Source organism: Homo sapiens, chromosome 7 (assembly GCF_000001405.40).
Source record: "Homo sapiens chromosome 7, GRCh38.p14 Primary Assembly".
Classification (NCBI taxonomy): domain Eukaryota; kingdom Metazoa; phylum Chordata; class Mammalia; order Primates; family Hominidae; genus Homo; species Homo sapiens.
The window spans coordinates 78,998,956-79,018,556 of record NC_000007.14 but is presented as its reverse complement, the minus strand read 5'-3'; the positions used below and the strand labels follow the sequence as shown (position 1 = coordinate 79,018,556).

Here is a 19,601-nt window from a genome sequence, read left to right as displayed (position 1 = left end):
AGGTTAGTGTTGATATGTGTGGATTTGATCCTGTCATCAGGTTGTTAGCTCGTAATTATGCAGACATGTTTGTGTGGTTGCTTTATAGTGTCACTAGTCTATGTACTTAAATGTGCTTTTGTAGTGGTTGGTAACAGTTTGTCCTTTTCATAACTGCTACTTCCTTTAGGATCTCTTGAAAGGCAGGTCTGATAGTAATGAATTCCCTTAGCGTTTGCTTTTCTGAAAAGGATTTTATTTCTCCTTCACTTCGAAAGCTTAGTTAGACCATATATGAAATTCTTGGCTGAAAATTCTTTTCTTTAAGAATGCTGAATTCCCCCAATCTCTTCTGCTTGTAGGGTTTCTGATGACAGGACTAGTGTTAGTCTGATGGGGTTCCCCTTGTAGGTTAGCTGACCCTTCTTTCTAGCTGCCTTTGACATTTCTTCATTATGACCTTTGAGAATCTTGTGTAGTATTTTGGAGGGGTTCTCTAAATTTTCTGAATTTGAATGTTGACCTCTCTAGCAAAATTGGGGAAATTTTCATGGATGATATTCTGAAATATGTTTTCCAAGTTGCTTGGTTTCTCTCCCTGTCTCTCAGGCATGCCAATAAGTCATAGACTGGGTCTCTTTCCAGAATCCCATCTTTCTCAGAGGCTTTATTTATTTTCCTTGTGGTTTTTTATTTTCCTTTTTCTTTGACTGAGTTATTTTGGAGAGCCAGTCTTCAAGCTGTGACTTTTTTTCCTCAGCTTGGTCAATCCTGTTGTTAATACTTGTGATTGCATTATGAAATTCTTCTACCATGTTTTTAAGCTCTATCAGATCAGTTTGTTCATATAATGTCCATTTTGTCTATCAGTTCCTATACTGTTTTATTGTAAACCTTAGATTCCTTGAATTGGGTTTTGACTTTCTCCTATATGTCAGTAATCTTCATTCCTATCTATATTCTGAATTTTATTTCTATCATTTCAGCCATCTCAGCCTAGTTAGGAACTGTTGCTGGGGAACTAGTGTGGTCATTTGGAGGTAAGAAGCCACTTTGGCTTTTTGAGCTGCCAGAGCTCTTGTGCTGGTTCTTTCTCATCTTCGTGGGCTGATGTTGCTTCAGTTTTTGAAGTTGATGACCTTTGGATTTCTTTTTCTTCTATCCTATTTGATGTCCTTGGGGGGTTGATTATGGCATAAGGTGGGTTCAGTTGACTGGTTTCATTTTTGAAGGACTTTAGGGGGCCAGGGCTCAGGTCATAACTCCTGAACTGTGTGCTCTAACTCTAGGGGGCCAGTATGGGCCCCAGCTTTATTCTGTGGCCCCTGGAGGTTAGGAACCTAACTCACTGGAGGGGCCTGAATTGTTTCCAGACAGCTGGCTAGAACTCTCTGATGGGTGGTGCCAGCCTCAGCACTTCATAGGGCAGTGGCAGCAGGATTGGTCCTTATTTGTTATGTGCCAGCAGCAGCGGCAGTGCTGCAAGTTGCATGCTCATCAGCTATGGCTGAGTGTTGATGGGAACAGATGTGCTGGCCTTTGTTGGGGCACTTGCAACAGCAGTGTTGGCAGGGCACCACTATGTGGAGATGCACGGGGCCTCGCCAGTGTCCGTGCATGCATTTGCATGGGCAAAAATGTTAGCATAGGGATGTGGCACTGGCAGGCATGGGACTGTGTGTCCTGTGTTCATGCATTAACGTAGATGGCAGCTGCTGCTGGGGTTGGGGGCAGATCAGTTGGTCTACTTTTGTAGTTTTGCACCAGTGGCAATATTGGCATAGGGGTGGGGTGCAGGTGGGTGTGGGGCTGACAGTCTCCAGTTTCCATGCTAGCCAATGCTCCAATAGCAATGGCAGCACTGTTGGGGGAGTGTTGGAGGGTTGGGGTTCACTCACACTGGCAGCTGTGTCACAGCATGGTGCACACGCATCTGGCAGGGAAGGGAAGGCAAGGTCTACCCAAGCTTACCTGCCTCAGCAAAGCAATGTAGGGGGGTGGTTGTGGACAAGTGCGTGCCAGCAAAGCAACTCAGGGGAGACTGTGGTAGGAGAAGGGCATAGGTGGACAGGTGCATGTTTGCAGGGACACTCTATTGGGGCACCCTACTGGAGCTGTTTACTGGTCAAGTACAGTCTGTCAGTGCAGGAGCTATGATGCGTGCCACCAGGAGGCTACCACAACCTAGATTTCTGAGGCTGCACTGCAATCAGGCCTAGCTGGGGTCACAGGAGAGGCCAGCAGACCAAAGGTGCTCTGGTCGGACTGGCCCAGCCTCATGAGCAAGATCACCCTGCAATGTTCAGGTCCAACAGTTTTCTTAGGCCTTAAGTTTCCTAAGGGTGCAAGGCAGCCCTGGGGGATGGGTGTCCCTAGTAGTGCTCCACTCCAGATGCTCCCACACCAAACTCTCTGGGTTCCACAATGGCTGGAGTTCTGCCCATACTACTTCTCTAAGCAGCTCTCTCTGCCAGCTCAGTTGTCCATGGGGTTCATGTAGTCTCCTGCTGGCAGGATTCCAGGGGCCCCCAGGGAGAATGTGTTGCTCCTTGCCTGCTCAACCCCCACCCCCCCCCCCCGCTTCTCCAGGAGTCATTGAGGGCTAGAAATAACTCCCTTTGCAGGGTTCCCTGCTTCCTGCCCCTTTGACCCAGTATCTGTGTCTTCCCTCTCTCCATTTTCAATGGATCTTCCCTCTGAAGATCTGCTAGAAGTATGCCAGTCTTCCCAATGTCCCCATCTCTCATGGGGATGCTGTACATGTATAACAACAATTTGTTTCCAACATACCATAAATTGTGCATTTCAGTTGCCTAATGAATGAAAAGACTTATAGGTGGGCCGAGGACATAATTATAATATACAACATTTTTCTACAGTAAAAACCATTCTGCATTCCAAAATAAACCTTTGGGACACATTCCGCATTTGAAATCAGTCTTGTAGCAGTTCAAATCATGACCCTATAATTGTTATAACTTCATTAGTACTGATCCATCACAACACAGACTATGCAGGCTATATTAGTCTGTTGTTTGGAATGAGATTTGCCAGGGAATTTCTTTGTGTTTCCATTGTAAAATGCAATCAAAAACAAAGCTGGAGTTTCTTTTTTGTTGATTTGGGCAAGGTGTTCTGTGTCGTGATACTTTTAAGGATAAAGCCATTTGGAGTGAACCATGTATTGTACCAGATCATTGGAGAGTTTTTAAGTGTCAGCAGGTTGAAAAAAAATATTAGAGGACTGACCTGGCTTTTAAGAATTTTTTTTTAATTTTTCATTTTTATAGAGATGGGGTCTTACTGTGTTGCCCAGGCTGACCTGGAACTCCTGTCCTCAAGTGATCCTCCTGCCTCAGCCTCCCAAAGTTCTGGGATTACAAGCATGAGCCACCGTATGGCTGGCCTGACCTGGCTTTATAGTTCTTAAAACACAAAATAATGTCAAATGTTTTTCAGTTGACTTGGGGATAGACCTTGCTAATATAAAATGAAATAAGCTTAAATATTCATTGTTTAAATACCATTTACATGTTCACTTTTAGTTTTATGAATGAAGATATTTCAAGCATACCAAAGTATGAGCATTTTCTTTTGCTTTTTTATTAATGTGGATGCATTCTTAAATTGGACTTACCAAGAACAAAAACAATTGTGATATTTTTATCATTACATTTTAAAATTTTTATACTGAAACTTTGGAGTGAAGTTAGAGAGGCAATAAACCAAGACTCTAAGAAGAAAAAATTTTGCCTGCTAAATTATCTAGATATTTTGGACAACAGTGGCTTTTCTTCAGTTTAATAATCTTAGTAAGTGTTTTATGTAGAAGCCTTATACCTATGAGGTTTATTAACCTTCAATAATTTTAAACTCCTTCATAACTATCCTAATAGATTGCTTTTCCCTTTTAAATTTAGAGTGGTATATCTCTAGTTTTAAAAAAAATGGATTGAATTTAGGTTAGATTATTATGTCCCTTTTACCCATATATATTTTTCCTTTCATTATGCTGAATTTGGTGTGACTTCCTGCTTTGTATGAAGAACATCTAATTTGTAAGAGTTAGGTAATTAAAGAAACTAATAGGATATATGCTCTTATTAGACTGTATTAGCCATTGGTACATTATTAAAAATTTTGATATACTTGAGATTGTTTTCAACTTTGGGTTCATAGTTCATATTTTCAGATAATAAAATTTCAGGTACCTACTATGATGCCTGGCATGTACTGAGAACTCATTTTCTCTTCTCAATGGAAGGAAATATCATAACTATAGGAACAACTCTAACATTTAGTTTGAGACCAAGGCTAACAATGAAAAATGAAACTCAATAATAATATCCCATCTGTACAATAGTAGGGGAAAGGAAATAATAAAAAAGCTATTTTCAATTGAGCTAGAGAATATTATAAACCATTTACATTTATCTCTGTCATTTTCTCTGAAATAGCAATTATTCTCTTTAGTTTTAAATCTTCTAATGATCTGCAAATGTTTAATATATTTTGTCTTTCTTATTCCATTTCTTATACAAAACATGCAATACCACAAAGATTTTGAAGAAACAGCACAGATATTAAAGCATGATTAAAAAGATTGTCTATACTCTCTAATATTATGAATAAAATATTGAAGGGATAGAAATTGTCATGTAAGTAAAAATTTTCAGCTATGGAAAAACTAACAAACCAGGGCATCTTCAATGAGCTTTATGGCTTTCCTATTTAAAATAGGCAAATTGGGAATTATTAGGGGAAGGAGAATTTTACTGCCTCATAATTTATAGACTGTCTAGTCTAGATCAAATGCATGCAGTGATTTTGTGTAGTACTCTGGCCACCTGAAAATGAGATGGGCCTCTAGATCATCAGAAATCAAAGACACAATTTCTACCTAAAAAGGGAATGGAGGCTGTTCTGGCAGGCTAGATTAGATATGTCTGTCACCTGTTTTGTGTCTGTGGCTCTTAGCAGAATCAATCAACTTTCTTGTGATTTATTTCTCATTTTTGAGGTGAGCCAAGCAGAAACTATTTTTGAAAAAGGAACTTAACAACACAGCCCTATAATACTTTCCTGTCTATTCCTCAACTTATCCACCATCCAATCAATTAACCTAAGGTACATTTGCGGTTACTCATTAAAATATCTTACAGCATATGGGTAGATTTCCTTCTCTTCTAATTCCTCACAGACTGCTTTGCTTAACTACTTTCCTACTTATTTGATGAAGATAAGGTCTGAAGTCAGTTGTCTACTGATGATGTAAGATTCCTGAATAATTCCACAACTAGAAAACAATATCAAAAGGAGATTATTCATAGTTTTATTTCTTATGGAGTATAGCTAATTTGTAAACTATAAGTAAATAGTAAAATAATTTGGTTGTCTTGTTACCAAAAGAAATCCCAAATTATAAGATGCACTTAGCAAATATTTTATAGGGAAGCATAAAATTTAGACCTAGAGGAGATGTTATTTGGTCCTACACCCATTGTTTTGGACTGAATGTTTGTCCAAAACTCATATATTGAAATCTTAACCCCCATGGTGATTACATTAGGAGGTGGGGCTATTTGACAGGTAATTAAATTATGAGGGTGAGACCCTCATGAATGGGATTGGTACCCTTATAAAAAGAAACATTATTTTCCTCTTGGCCATGTGTGGATATAATGAGAAGATGGCCATTTGCAAGCCGGGAAGAGTGCCCTTACCAGGCACCGGATCTGTTGGTTTAATCTTGGACTTTCTGACTCCAAAAATGTGAGAAATACAGATTAATCTATGGTATTGTTATAGCAGCTTTAAGTAACTAAGCCACCTTCCTTTTATAGATGAGAAAAAATGAGGTCCAGAAATGATTTGTGCAAGACCACTTAATGAATAAGTGTTGGGATGGTAACTAAAACTTGTTTACCTGACTGAAAACCTAGTGTTCTTTCTACTACAGCATTTGTGATTTATTTATTTAGCATACGTTTCATGGCCTTGTATGTTAAAAACACATTGCTTTAGACGTGGAAGAAGATATAAGAGGGGAGAAGATATAAAATGAATAGGAAACACTCTCTCCTGGGAAGCTTGTAACATAATAGAAAATATAAAACAGGTCCACAAATTACAGTTTGGCCTGTTATAATGCGCAAAGTACTAAAGAGAAATGAGCAAGATGTGGAAGTTCAGAGCAGAGAGAAGACTTCCGGCTCAAAGATCATAGGAAGGCCAACTACAGAATAATTTTAAGCCTGAAGGTTGGACAGAAATTCCATGGATAATAGCAAAGGGAAGGCATTCTTATCCATAAAGTTTAATTAGTTGCAAACAAGAAAGGGAAAGTTGGAGAAGCTGGCCAGAAAAATACAAGAACAGGATAATTCTGCATGTCCAAGAGGGAGAAATTATGGGTAATTTCTTCAGAGTGTCGCTTTCAAGATGAAGCCAGTTGCATTCGCATTCTTTGGGCACTCTGCTTCTATAGCCATTTCCTGGAAGAAACATTTTGATTGACTAAGTAAGGGCAGAGTAGCTCAGCACAAAGACCCACTACATGTACTGAATGATATAGCTACTCAATAAAAAACAAGAAAAAGAAAGAAAGAAGAAAGGAAGAAAGAACAGAGAAAGAAAGAAAGAAAGAAAGAAAGGAAGGAAGGAAGGAAGGAAGGAAGGAAGGAAGGAAGGAAGAAAGGAAGGAAGGAAGGATCTTCTACCAAAAGAACGTGGTACAAGATAAAGAGCAAAGTTGAATGCAAAAAGTAAAGCACAAACTAAAATTAAATATTCACCACAGTATTTTGTTGAGTGTGATTGAAAAACAAACAAAAATAAATAAGATGATTAGAACATTAGAGTAGTTTGCTTTGACTGAAGCACAGGATGAGTAGATTACATCAAAATGAGCCAAACCCTGGTGGTCATCCCCACCTTTCCCCTCTCTATTTAACCCCTACTATCCCAATTAGTGAACTGCTTTCTCCAGTTTACACTGATAAAAGTTTATAAGGTACGCTTTCATTCCAGAAGCAGTTGACTCAAGGGGAGGGGAAGGTTGAGCTGATGGTCATGTCTGAGTGAGAGATGACACTACTTTACTAGATGGGACTACTAGCAACCAGACACTTGGCACAAACATTATAGACCCTAGCATGTTTCTCCCTCAAATTTTGAAAGAGTGGCATTTGCTACAATGCTGGAGCTAACAAATTGCCTTAAGGAATATACCAAGGAGATTATGTCTCTCCAATCCAAGCAGCATCTTCTTCCTTTGTTTCCTCAGTCTACGTATTCAAGTAATAGAAATGACAAAGCAGTCAATTTCTACTGAGGGCATTCCTGAAAATGATGGAAACCTTAGAAATGCAGCCCAGTTTTGAACGTTGGGACTTGGTGTTTTCTCCTCAAATAGACCATAGGTGTTGCTCCCCAGTGCTTCCCTCACTCCCCACCCCACCATTGTTCTAAGCCCAGTACCATACTCTTTGTGTGAGCTTCACTTGCCTCGTTTGCAATAGGAAGAGTTTGAACTGAGCTCTATTCCAAACGTTCTTCTGAAGTTATATTTTGATGTTAAGTTCAAAAGCTTGATTGGGGTCATGTTGAGAAAAGACTTGACTGCTTTGCACTAAGAAGTTTGGTCTTCAGACTATAGAGGATGAAAATTAGGTACATGTTTTTTGGAACTGTAGGTTTCAAATCCTTTCCAGCTCTCTCATTTACTGAAAGTGTCACTTCAGAAGGCATTTAATACTTGTCTACAGTCTTATTTTTAAAAATACAGGAAATAAAATTTTTTTCACATAACTAAATAAGTCAATAGTTATTCAAATATAATGGCAAGTAAGAGCCACTGATTTTTTTGAAGGAAAAAGTACAAATGGCTAAAGCATGCAACGAGACATTAATGTTGCCAGTGCTCTGCTCAACAAAACGATTGATGTGTGCATCCTATGAACTACCAAATCTAGGAATCATTAACAAATGATAGAGCAGAAACTCTACAAACACTAAAAATAAAATAAAAAATTTATAAGTATGGAAAATAAGATAGCAAATTATTTATTTTAACAATAGATAACATTTATTGTACACTTTTTAGAACTCTGTATTTTTTAGCTTGCTTTAAAAGGCTAACTTTTAAACCTGAAATCAGATCATTTTGAGACTCAGACTCTACTTTTTGAGGACATCATTGCCCAATGTCTGTTGTTTAATTCCTCTCTAATTGAAATTTCTAATTGAGGATAAATATGCCTTTATACCTATGTATGTGTATGTGTATACATTATATATACATACATACATACATATACACATGTATCACACATACATACATATACATATGTATCACACATACATATAACACGTGTATATACACACATACTGTACATATACATGCATGTGTTATACACACATACTGTGTATACACACATGTATTATACACATCTATATATGTGTATATATGTGTATATATACATACACAAAAATATATGTGTATATATACATATGCATATAACATGTGTGTGTATATATATATGTGTGTTTTAGGATCAGGTACAGTTGTTCAACTATATTAGTTTTAAAAGAATGCTCAATCAAAATAGTTTTTTTAATGAGTGTTTACTTTTTCTCATATAACAAGAAATCTTAAGATATGTAGTTACTGACATTGTTTTTAGCTGTTTAGTAAAGCCATTAGGAATGCAGGCTGTTTCTAACCTCTACTCCAGTATCCTGAGCATGGTGAATTTTTCCTTGTGCTTGTCACTTCACTTCATGGTCAGAATATGGCTGCTACATCTCAGATATTATGTCCATTTCCTTCTGGGCTAAGTGTCAATGGCCAGAACATAGCTGCTAGAAGCTGCAAGGGCAGTTAGGAAAGTGGAGAATGATTGAATGACTTTCCAGACCACTGTGATCCATGTCCTGAGGCTCAGCAGGTTTCTGCCCAAAACTAAATCAGAGCTCTTTTAAAAGGAAAGAATAATGGGAGGAATATTGGGTAGGCAACTAGCAGAATTTGCTGTAAGAATACTGGATTAATAAAATTGCCTGACTTGAAAGATGCTTATGATAAATTGTAAAGGATAATAAAGCATTTGGGAAATAGGAGGAAAGAGAAATCCTTCCAAAACAAAGGGGATTGTATGTGAAATTTTGTTATAATTTATGACAACTCATTTAATTAGTGAAGGAAATTTTATATTGATTCTTAAAAGTTTCGACAGTTCTTCTATGAAAAAAAAGATACAGTCATTGAAATGAATAAATAGACTTTTTTGTTGTTTTCTGAGGTAGATAACTTTCAAGAAATGTAATTCAGTATATCTGTAGTAAAGAAAAAAAAAGGTTTAAACTGATAATATATTTTTAGGGATAAGAATCATCCTGAACTACAAAATGTGAATTTATCCACATTACATTAGGTGAGTGATTCTGGCTTACCTTAATAAGGAGACTACATCTGTTGTTCTATAGTTGGCATTTTCTTAGGATGCCAGAAAGGATCTCATCACTTGGTATGTCCCACATATTAGATTGAAAAAAAAGGAGAAGGAAGAGGGGGTGCAGTTGCCAAAGGACCTGTAGCCTTAGAATCCGGCAGAAATGACAGCTGAGAGCAGTCACAGGCATGATGCTTACTCAGTAGGTGTGATAAATTAGCAAGGGTAAGCAAGTATTGCTGACTGGAAAAAAAGAAGAAGAAGAAAAAGAGAATTTCAGGATTTCTAAACTATTAGCTATTTTAGTGTGGTGCCAGCAAGTCCAAGACACATGGAAACACAGGGCATTTGGAGAAGTAAATAATAGGTAATTGTTGCAATTGTGTAATGGCAGTTTCAAATGACTTTTATTTCTGACTGCTCTGCTTCTTTGGCTGAGAAAATGGATTTGAATTTGGAAAATTATATGTTCAGCCATTCCGGATGTAATATTTATGTACACCCAACAAAAAATGTTTTTCTTTTATGTCATTTGATTTCCACTATCATATTATATTGGGTGGAAAAATAGATTAAGAGACCATTTGCTCAAATATGAAAGAAACATCATCTGGAGGGTAAGAATTTTGACAGTTAATTCAGTTGAAAATGATATCTTGCAGTTAAAAATGGCATCTTATTGAGACTATACCTGCAGATTAGGAGGCAACTGAAATGATGGATTTTGAAAACTTTAGAAATGTTACAATATGTAAGTCTATTAGCTACAGTTTATGTCAAAGCTGTTTGTTTTGCACCTGTGCACACCTACATAATGCTAGTTTGTGTGATCATGGTAGTGCAAATAGATTCATGAATTCTAATTCTGAGACTCAGAAGGATTTGAAGGAATATAATTTTATGATTATTGCAGATTTCCTGTTTCTTCTATCTTTAATTGTTTGTCTTGGCTCAATTTCCCTAGTATATTTGATTGAAATAATAAGAGTTTCAGGAATTCTTACTTACATTTTTACTGGTATTTTGATTTATAATTAATTCTTTCCAGTATGGAAATAGGAAAGGTTTTAAGATAAATCTTTATAAGTTAACAAGTCATCTTTAAATATCAAATAAGTATTTGATAGATCTACATTATTGGCTTTTTAACTATATCCCAGTTTATTTTTTATTAGATTATAAGGTCAAACAGTCGCAAAATTGTTTGAATTGAAAAAAGGAAAAAAAAACCCTACATTCTTTCAAACCTTGTCTCTTGCTAAAAACATTTGTAGATATACTACAAAATAAAGAAATTCCTTTTATTTATTGCATAAAAGGAGTAAAATCATTAATATTTGTGTAGGTTTTTCTTCTTTAACTTTTTATACCATCCTACTTAACTAAATCTAGAGCAACTTTCAATAACTTAAAAATCTTTTCAGACTTCTAAGACATTATGCTAAGTAAAATAAGCCAGTCACAAAAGGGCAAATATTATATATTCTACTTATATGAGGTACCTAGAGTAGTCAAATTTATAGACAGAAAAGTGGTTTCCAGGATTTGGGGTAGGATGGAATGGGGAGGAATGAATAAATGAGTAAATAGTCTTTTTAGCCATGCAATGAGATGTACTATAATATTTCAGTATGATTCAAGAGTAACATATCTTTTACCATGATATAGGCTTCATTCTAAATGAAGGATAAATTTAGGAATACATGCAAAGCATTGAACACAGACTTGGCAGGCAATTATTGTCTCAGTAAATGTTATCTCTGTTATCATTGTGGCAGTAAATGTTTGAGAAGATCAAAAGAACACTTTGAAATAATGCATCTTTTTAATGGGTTCCTGAGTATATTGATGACAGAATCAAATTACATGCTTAAAATATTTTCCAACATCCCTTACCAAGAAACTTTTTTTATTTTTAGGAGGAATTGTTGATAAAGACCTTCGTCACTACCTCAACTTACGATTTCAAAAGGGTTCTGTGGACCATGAGCTTCAGCAAATCATTCGTGACAACCTCTACCTCCGCACGGTGCCATGTGAGTACAATGGGCAGTATTAATATTTTTATGTTGAGAGATAAATGTTTAGCTATATATTCATTGATTAAAAGAAAGTGAAATTGCACTTATTTTTTATAGTGGGCTTTTGGAACAGAAAACTTATTTGAGATGTGGCAATTTTAAGTGCAAATGCTTATAACTGCAGTAGTATGGTTTATGATGAAGTTGTAGCCAGAAGAAACTTGTGATTTTCAAGCTATAAAATCTAACTTACATTTCTGAAGTTAGTATTGAGAAATATTGATTCTAGTCCAGACTGTTGGTGATTCCGAATGAATTATGATGGAGATAGAACTCCACATTGGGAGACAGGAGAATGCAAATTTAATTTATTAGTTGAAACAGCTATTCTGTGAGTAGAATCTTCACAGTGACTCCCAACCTCATCTCTTGTTTGCAACAGGAGAGTCTCACAAGTAAAAAGAAAAGTGCACATTGGAAAGTAAAGCTGAGTGTTCTGCAAGTCTTAGAAAGCAATGATGCTTAGAAAGCATGTTGGGGTAAATTTCTTATATGTAACCTATAGATATCCATAAACAATCGTTTCTGATTATCCTTCCAAGGAGAGGAATTGGTAAAATGATACAATTTTTAGTGTCTGTTACAGCTCACCTGAAAATCCTCTATTAACTTTAAGACAAATGAAGGACTTTTAAACTCAGGTTCTAGATCTTAGATTGATATCAAAAATCCATTTTCTTCAAGGCAGATTCCATGCACTTCAGACACTTTCCACTCTCTAGAAATTCTGGGCTGTGGATGTTGTGTGAGTTTCTTTTCTTTTAGTTCCGTTCTAAATAAATTCAAAGCTATGAGTCCTGAAAGGATAACATTAAATAAAGAAAAAGTTGGCTGGTATAAGTGAAACAAATAAGCAAAACAAAAAAAATTATTATGTAGGGTTGAACCACCAGAGTTATGTAACTATAATTATCTGGAATAGATACTGGATAATTATACTGAAATAATGAAAACACACAGAGATGTCAAGATGGAAAGGTTATCACCCAGCCCTATTGACCTACCCACCTTTTAGGAGAGGTGGACTTTTGCCATTGTTAGCACTAAATATTCATCAAAACGACAATGCCAGGACACCATTATCAAATCTTCCTAAATGAGAATACTTGATGATTGGCATTTTGTCAGTCAAAATGATACTTCTGTCAGTGTGTGTTAGTTAAGTGAATAGGCTTTTGGACCCATGGTTTAACTCTGGAAGTTGAGAAAAGTGCATTCTTAAACTTGTAAGTTTGACATTAGAGTGATGGACAAAGGAAGATGGATTAAAGTAAGTGACTGAACTATTTATAAGGTAACGGGTGGACGCATTTTCAAAGCTATGATGTTGTCAGTGCAGCAATGTGAATTTATCTTTTGTGACATGAAAGAAAGGAGATCTGAAATACTGAATAAAGAAACCAGGCTGTTTATTATGTTTAAAAGCTGAGAAAAATAGATAAGAAGCTGACATTCAGGAATACATGTAGTCCTTGCTAAGGCGATGACATAAATAAGAAAGTCTTAATTAAATATGAAGATAATAGGAGTAAATTTTGCATTAGTTAATTAACTTCTTAAATAGAGCATCTCCTTTTAGAGTACCAAAGAAGACTACGAAGGAAAAGTAAATATAAGGGTAAAACAGCTAGACTTATATGAGTAAACATAAAGAGCTTCAAGATGTAATTTCAGTACAAGGTCATAAATTTAATTGGAAATCCTTGGATAGCTCCTATAAAGGAGATGATTAGAAACTCAATTTGAATATCACGATGAAACAATTATTCTTTGAATTTTCAGCCATCTCTCCTAGTAGCCAATTCCAATAACATTATTGACTAATGAAGTTTTTAACTTGGCAAAAAAGTGAACAAAAATACAGAGATTCTAACTTATATTATAAAAATTGCTTTATACTGATTAATTGACCTGGATGATCCACCATCTTGACTCAGTATATCTTTTTTTTTTTTTTTTCTTGAGATGGAGTTTTGCTCTTGTTACCCAGGCTGGAGTGCAATGGTGCGATCTCAGCTCACTGCAACCTCTGCCTCCCAGGTTCAAGCAATTCTCCTGCCCCAGCCTCCTGAGTAGCTGGGATTACAGGCATGTGCCACCATGCCCGGCTAATTTTGTATTTTTAGTAGAGACGGGGTTTATCCATGTTGGTCAGGCTGGTCTCAAGCTCCCGACCTCAGGTGATCCACCTGCCTTGGCCTCCAGAAGTGTTGGGATTACAGGCGTGAGCCACCACGCCCGGCCCAACTCAGTATACCTTTAAAAAAATTTTTTTCTTCCTGTATCTTTTTTGAATTTCTAATTGATACATAATAATTTACATATTTATGGGGTACATATTTATTTTGTTACATGCATAGAATGTGTAATGATCAAGTCAAGGTATTTGAGGTATCCATCACTTTGAATATTTATCATTTCTATGTGTTGGGAACAATTCTATTTATTTCATTTAGCTACTTTGAAATATACAATACACTGTTGTCTACTATAGTCAGTCTACTCTTCTGCCAAATAATAGAACTTCTATCTTTTATCTAACTGTATATTTGTACCCATTAATCTACCTCTCTTCATTCCCAATTCCTCACTCTCCTAACCCTCTGTTATCTATCATCCTTCTATCTCCATGGAATCAACTTTTTTAGCTCCAACATATGAGTAAGAACATGTTATTTTTGTCTTTCTGGTCCTGGCTTGTTTCATTTAACATAGTGATCTCCACTTCTGTCCATGTTGCTGCAAATGACAGGATTTTATTTTTTTTATGGTTGAAGAGTATTCCATCATCTATATATACCACATTTTATGTATCCATTTGTCCCTTGATGGACACTTCAGTTGAGTCCTTGTCTTTGCTATTGTAAATAGTGCTGCAATCAACATATGAGTACAGGAATCTCTTTGATATGCTGATCTCCTATATTTATTCCTTTGGAACAATACCCAGTAGTGGGATTACTGAACCATATGGCAATTCTATTTCAGTTTTTTGAGAAATCTTCATATGTTTTCCCTAGTGGCTGCACTAATTTACATTCCTACCAACAGAGTGTAAGAGTGCCCTTTTCCCTGCATCCTCACCAGCATTTGTTATTTTTGCTCTTTTTAATAATAGACATTCTAACTGGAGTAAGATGATATCTCATTGTGGTTTTGATTTGCACTTATTTGGGGATTAGGGATGTTGAACATTTTTTCATATACCTTTTGGCCATTTGCATGTCTTCTTTTGAGAAATGTCTGTTCATGTCATTTGCCCACTTTTTAATGGGATTATTTGATTTCTTAGTTGGGTTATTTGTTCACTCAGTATATCCTTTAATGAAGTTTTCAAATATGTTCAGAAAGGGTGCAGTAGAAGTGTGTCCATGATGTGAAAAATCCTGCCATTGTTAGAAACTTAAATAAGTATCCAGCATATCTGTTGGTATTGAGTATGGAATCACATTTGTTACACATTTTCCTTGGTCAAAGAAATTCTCATTGGTTTTCATGAACCCAGCAGCGTAGAAGGAAAACAGACTACTGAAGACTATATCATTGCTCTTATACATGCATGCATTAATGATACATTCACTCCTTGTTTAATCTAGCATTGGCATCAGGAATAGGTCCTTGATAACTCCATTGAAACAAAATTGTAGTGACTTATAACTATATAAGAGTAAATAAATTTTTTTCACAAAACAAGACCTAACTGAGTAATTCTGCTTACAACCACTACATTACTCTACCACCAACTACATCTGGAAGGAAAGGAGGCACATCTTGGAGCTGGAATTTATTGGTGCCTAGTAAGAGAGAGTTCTAGAGCTAGGGCTCCAAAGACCTCCCCCCCACCACCTGCTACATACACACATATACATATACTCAGTCAATCTAGTTGTGGACAAGTTGGTCCTTGCACTCTCCTTGGTAGGAAGCCTGTTTCCTGCTGCTTGCTGATTTCTGAGCTAAGCAGGGGAGGAAGGTGGTTAGTCTAGGTCTCCACTGACCCTTAACTACAAATAATACAAAAAGCCCATCAATCTGTTCCATGCCCCATAAACAAGGACTGACTGTATTTAGCCTTGTATTTTGTCTCCCTAGAACCTTATCTCAGAGCCCGCCTAATTCTAAAAAAAAAAAAAACAAGCAAACAACACACACACACACACACACACACACACACACACACACACTTTTCAATAAAAGCCACATCCCTTAGAATAGAAGGAGATGGTCACAGAAATAGAATTGTTGGGCATATATTGAGTTCTGTAATGAAACTACTATATATTGAGTTCTGTAACAAAACTTACATCTTAAGAAGACAATTGTGCAGTTTCTCAATGGAAATGTTTGGAGATTTTTTTTTTCTCATTGAAGCCTGTAAATGTTGAGTTTATTTTACAGTTTTGGGGGAATTTTCAAGTTCTAATTTTATCTCCCAGATATACTTTTCATAATTATTTCACTATCCTACTATCGTACTATTCTTTGGTAGCTAACTGATAATAAACTTATTTTATAGCTACTAAAAAAGAAGAATTGTTGGGCACATAATGAGTGAGAGCATGAGTATGCATGCATGTGTATGCTCATGTGTGTGCAAATACACAGGCTGAGATTGATTCTTCATTATTTCCACAGTAAGTTCCTAAGGAAAAGATCCTTAGGAACTTGAGCCCAGAAGTTTGAGACCAGCCTGGGAAACCCCATCTCTACAAGACCCCTTAAGAAAACACTATCTCTACAAAAAAAAAATTAAAAATTGGCCGGGCATGGTGGCATGCACCTGTAGTAGTCCCAGCTACTTGTGAGGATCACTTGAGCTCGGGAAGTCAAGGCTGCAGTGAGCCATGATTGCACCACTGCATGTCAGCCTGGGTGACAGAGTGAGACTCTGTCTAAAAAAAAAAAAAAAAGAAGAAGAAGAAGAAGAAGCCTGTGAATGAATCTTTCTACGATTAGATTTCAGGCTATATAAGATTTTTAAGATTTGTATGTAATTGAACTTCAGGAGAAGGGAGAAAATGACAATGAGACAAAACCGTTGTCATCTAGAATGTGATAAAGACTAACCATGAAAAACATATATAGATAAAAGTCTTGAAAGAGTTTAGAACATCCATCACATGGGATTTCAATTACCCTCATAGTACACAAAAGGCAATTCCAGAAGCAATAAGTTAGCAGCATTTATTTAGAGATGATTAAACAGGATTGTTTCATCACAGCATGTTAAATGTGCAAAGTTAAGGCAGCATGCATTGTCTCTTGGGTAATATGGATTCGAAAATATATGAAAGAAATTAATAGAATTAATACGGAAGAATATTGGATTAATTTGCAAATGTTTAAAGAGCAAAAATGGAGTTTATTTTGGTTTTAATATGCTACTGAGCATAATGATTGCATATATTTGACTCTTGAGTCTAATCAACCACAATTAAACTGACATGCTTCTTAAATATGAGGAAAAAATAATCACGGCTGTTTATTGGTAAAGTTCTAGTCCTTTCTAGCTTTGATATTTATTAGAGACACAAATTAATTTTTGAAGCAAGTATAAGAACAGATATAAATTTTAGACACTATTTTCCATTATACCAAAGAATGTGGAGAAGGACTTCAATGACCAATTTTAAAAGTTTCAAAATGAAAAGGAAGGTGGTTAAAATTAAACTTCTCTCCCAAGACTGTTCTTTGTCATTTGGTGAGACAGTTTTATTGGGAAATATTTAAAATTTATTTGAAGCCAGAACAAATACCAGTGTATACCAAGTAAAAGACAAAAATCAACAAAACTAAACTCTAATTCTGTTTTATAAAAAGTGAATAAAGTGGCCGGGCATGGTGGCTCACGCCTGTAATCCCAGCACTTTGGGAGGCCGAGGCAGGAGGATCACAAGGTCAAGAGATCGAGACCATCCTGGCCAACATGGTGAAACCCCATTTCTACTAAAAATACAAAAATTAGATGAGCATGGTGGTGTGCACCTGCAGTCCCAGCTACTTGGGAGGCTGAGGCAGGAGAATTGCTTGAACCCGGGAGGCGGAGGTTGCAGTGAGCTGAGATCATGCTACTATACTCCAGCCTGGAAACACAGCAAGATTCCATCTCAAAAAACAGTGAATAAGGTGAACATAGATTTGGGATATGAAAGAAATTAGTTTTGTGGAAGACCTGATTGAATTACACTGAGTTACGCTGAATTACACTGATTGTAACTCACAATAGTGTTTCTACATATTTAAGCCCTTTAAGTTAGTAAAACTAAAACACACTAAAAAGAAGCATTATCAAGGGTAAAACTGTAAAGTTTCTAATATATCTTTAACATTTTTGATATTTATGCCAAATTTGTTTCACAGAAAAGCAGGCTCTTCAAAAATTATGAGAAACCATCTCCTGTTAAGAATAGCAGTTACTAACACACCAAAAGGTATAGCTATGCAAGGAGTCAGCATCCCCTTTTCATAATTATATAATCCCTAGAAGACTATGATCACAGAGGACTGTTAGAGTGAGGCTCGTTGGCCACATATCTAATAAAATGTCTAAAATTAGAGCAGAGCTTTCTAGTATACTTTGTGGGAAAAATAATTTTATTTCTCAAGCAAAAATTAGTACTATAAAGGTTGTAAAAATACGTGTTAACATCTAACAAGGCAATGTGTTTTTGTGGATATGAATGAATCTAATTATTTGTGACTTTATTTATGAAGGTACATTTATTTCTAAACATGTTGTAAGAAGGGAGAGTGACATCAACCTGTGGATTAGATCACCAAAAAAGCAATCATCTTATTCCAATGGAAAGAAATTCCCTGAGTTAAAAATGATCAAAAATGGTATGTATTGAGAGTATCTTTAAGTAATATAGCTTTGAGTTCTGGGATGTTAAGTTGAACTGTAGCTCCACGTTTAGACAGAGGAGTAGAAGCAATATATCCAACTGAATTTTAAAGCAAACTACAACTTTCAACCCACATATTGCAACAGCTGTATATCGTACATCTGTTTCTACATTAATCTTATTGCCTCAAATAAGAATCATCAATTTGGCAACTCTTTTTTGAAATTCCTTTTAGAGTGTAAAGCATATTCTTTTGTGATTACTTCAGAATGAAGCTGCCAGATTTTTGTTCTTTGAAAATTTGAGAATGAATTTGATATTTATAGACTAATTATATTTGGTGTTGTGAAGAATAAGGGTTATTAGAGAATAAATATGGTTGTTAGCAGTGTTAACCAAAAAGAAAGGAAGTCTGTAAACAAACGAAACTTAATTTCTTGGGAGACATATAAACTGGCCTGGGAGGCTAGACCAAGGGAAAACTTCAAAAGCTTCTAAACAGTAGCATATACTTGAAAGTATTCTACTTGTTTACTCATCTCGATGTATGCCCTTGGCATAGTTATTAAATGTGTTATTACTTTACGGAAAGCTATATTAGGTTTACCTTCTTTCTTACTGAAAACATTAAGATCTAGTTTCATGTCATATATGTGAAAGTATTATAGATTTATTTCTTCTTTCGATTAAACAAAATGAATGTATCTTTCCTGGTCACAGAGTAACATTCATTGGTTTGGTTGACAGAGTGCTCTACAGAATATAAATGGCTTCAAAATGTTGCTTAAGATGGAAAATCAAGGAACATTAAAAGTGATTGTATTGATTTATCAATTTGACACCACAGGACACTAGTTTGAGAATAAAGGAACATATTTGGCACCGAAAAAAAAAAAGGAATAAGCACCAACAGTATACGATCTTACTGATCTTCGCAACCACATAAAATTCCCTTTGCCCTGACTTGATTGGCTTTTCTGCTGCTGTGACACAATCTTTCCTTTGTTTTTTCCCTCTTAGTTTGTATTTCTCTTTCCTTTTTTTCATAGGAGGGAGGCTTTCCATAGGAAATTGGTTTGTGGGCTATTGATCATAAACGCAGGTGAAATATACACCCTTGGACTTCAGTGGTCCTAGAAGCTGCCCAAGGAATAAATGGGGAGAGAGTTCTGAGGCTATATTTTGTCTCTGGAAAAGCCAGTCAACAGTTTTGATGGAAAATAACGCACCTTTCAGGGAACTCA

The 19,601-nt window shown here is 36.1% G+C and overlaps 1 protein-coding gene and 1 long non-coding RNA gene across 13 annotated transcripts in view; one reads left to right on the top strand and one right to left on the bottom strand.

Moving 5' to 3' along the window:
• Nucleotides 1–19,601, top strand: part of MAGI2 (membrane associated guanylate kinase, WW and PDZ domain containing 2) — a 1,436,613-nt gene that overhangs the window by 435,111 nt on the left and 981,901 nt on the right. For all 12 annotated transcript variants that reach the window (XM_047421093.1, XM_017012845.3, NM_001301128.2 and 9 more), the window contains exon 2: nucleotides 11,351–11,467. In XM_047421093.1, coding sequence (XP_047277049.1) covers nucleotides 11,351–11,467 — 117 coding nt within the window. The remainder of the gene's footprint in view (nucleotides 1–11,350; nucleotides 11,468–19,601) is intronic.
• On the bottom strand, nucleotides 6,280–9,569 carry MAGI2-AS2 (MAGI2 antisense RNA 2). The gene is made up of 3 exons (NR_046689.1): nucleotides 9,433–9,569; nucleotides 7,486–7,630; nucleotides 6,280–6,473 (listed from the first exon to the last, which is right to left on the bottom strand). It is a non-coding gene; the product is annotated as an MAGI2 antisense RNA 2 (long non-coding RNA).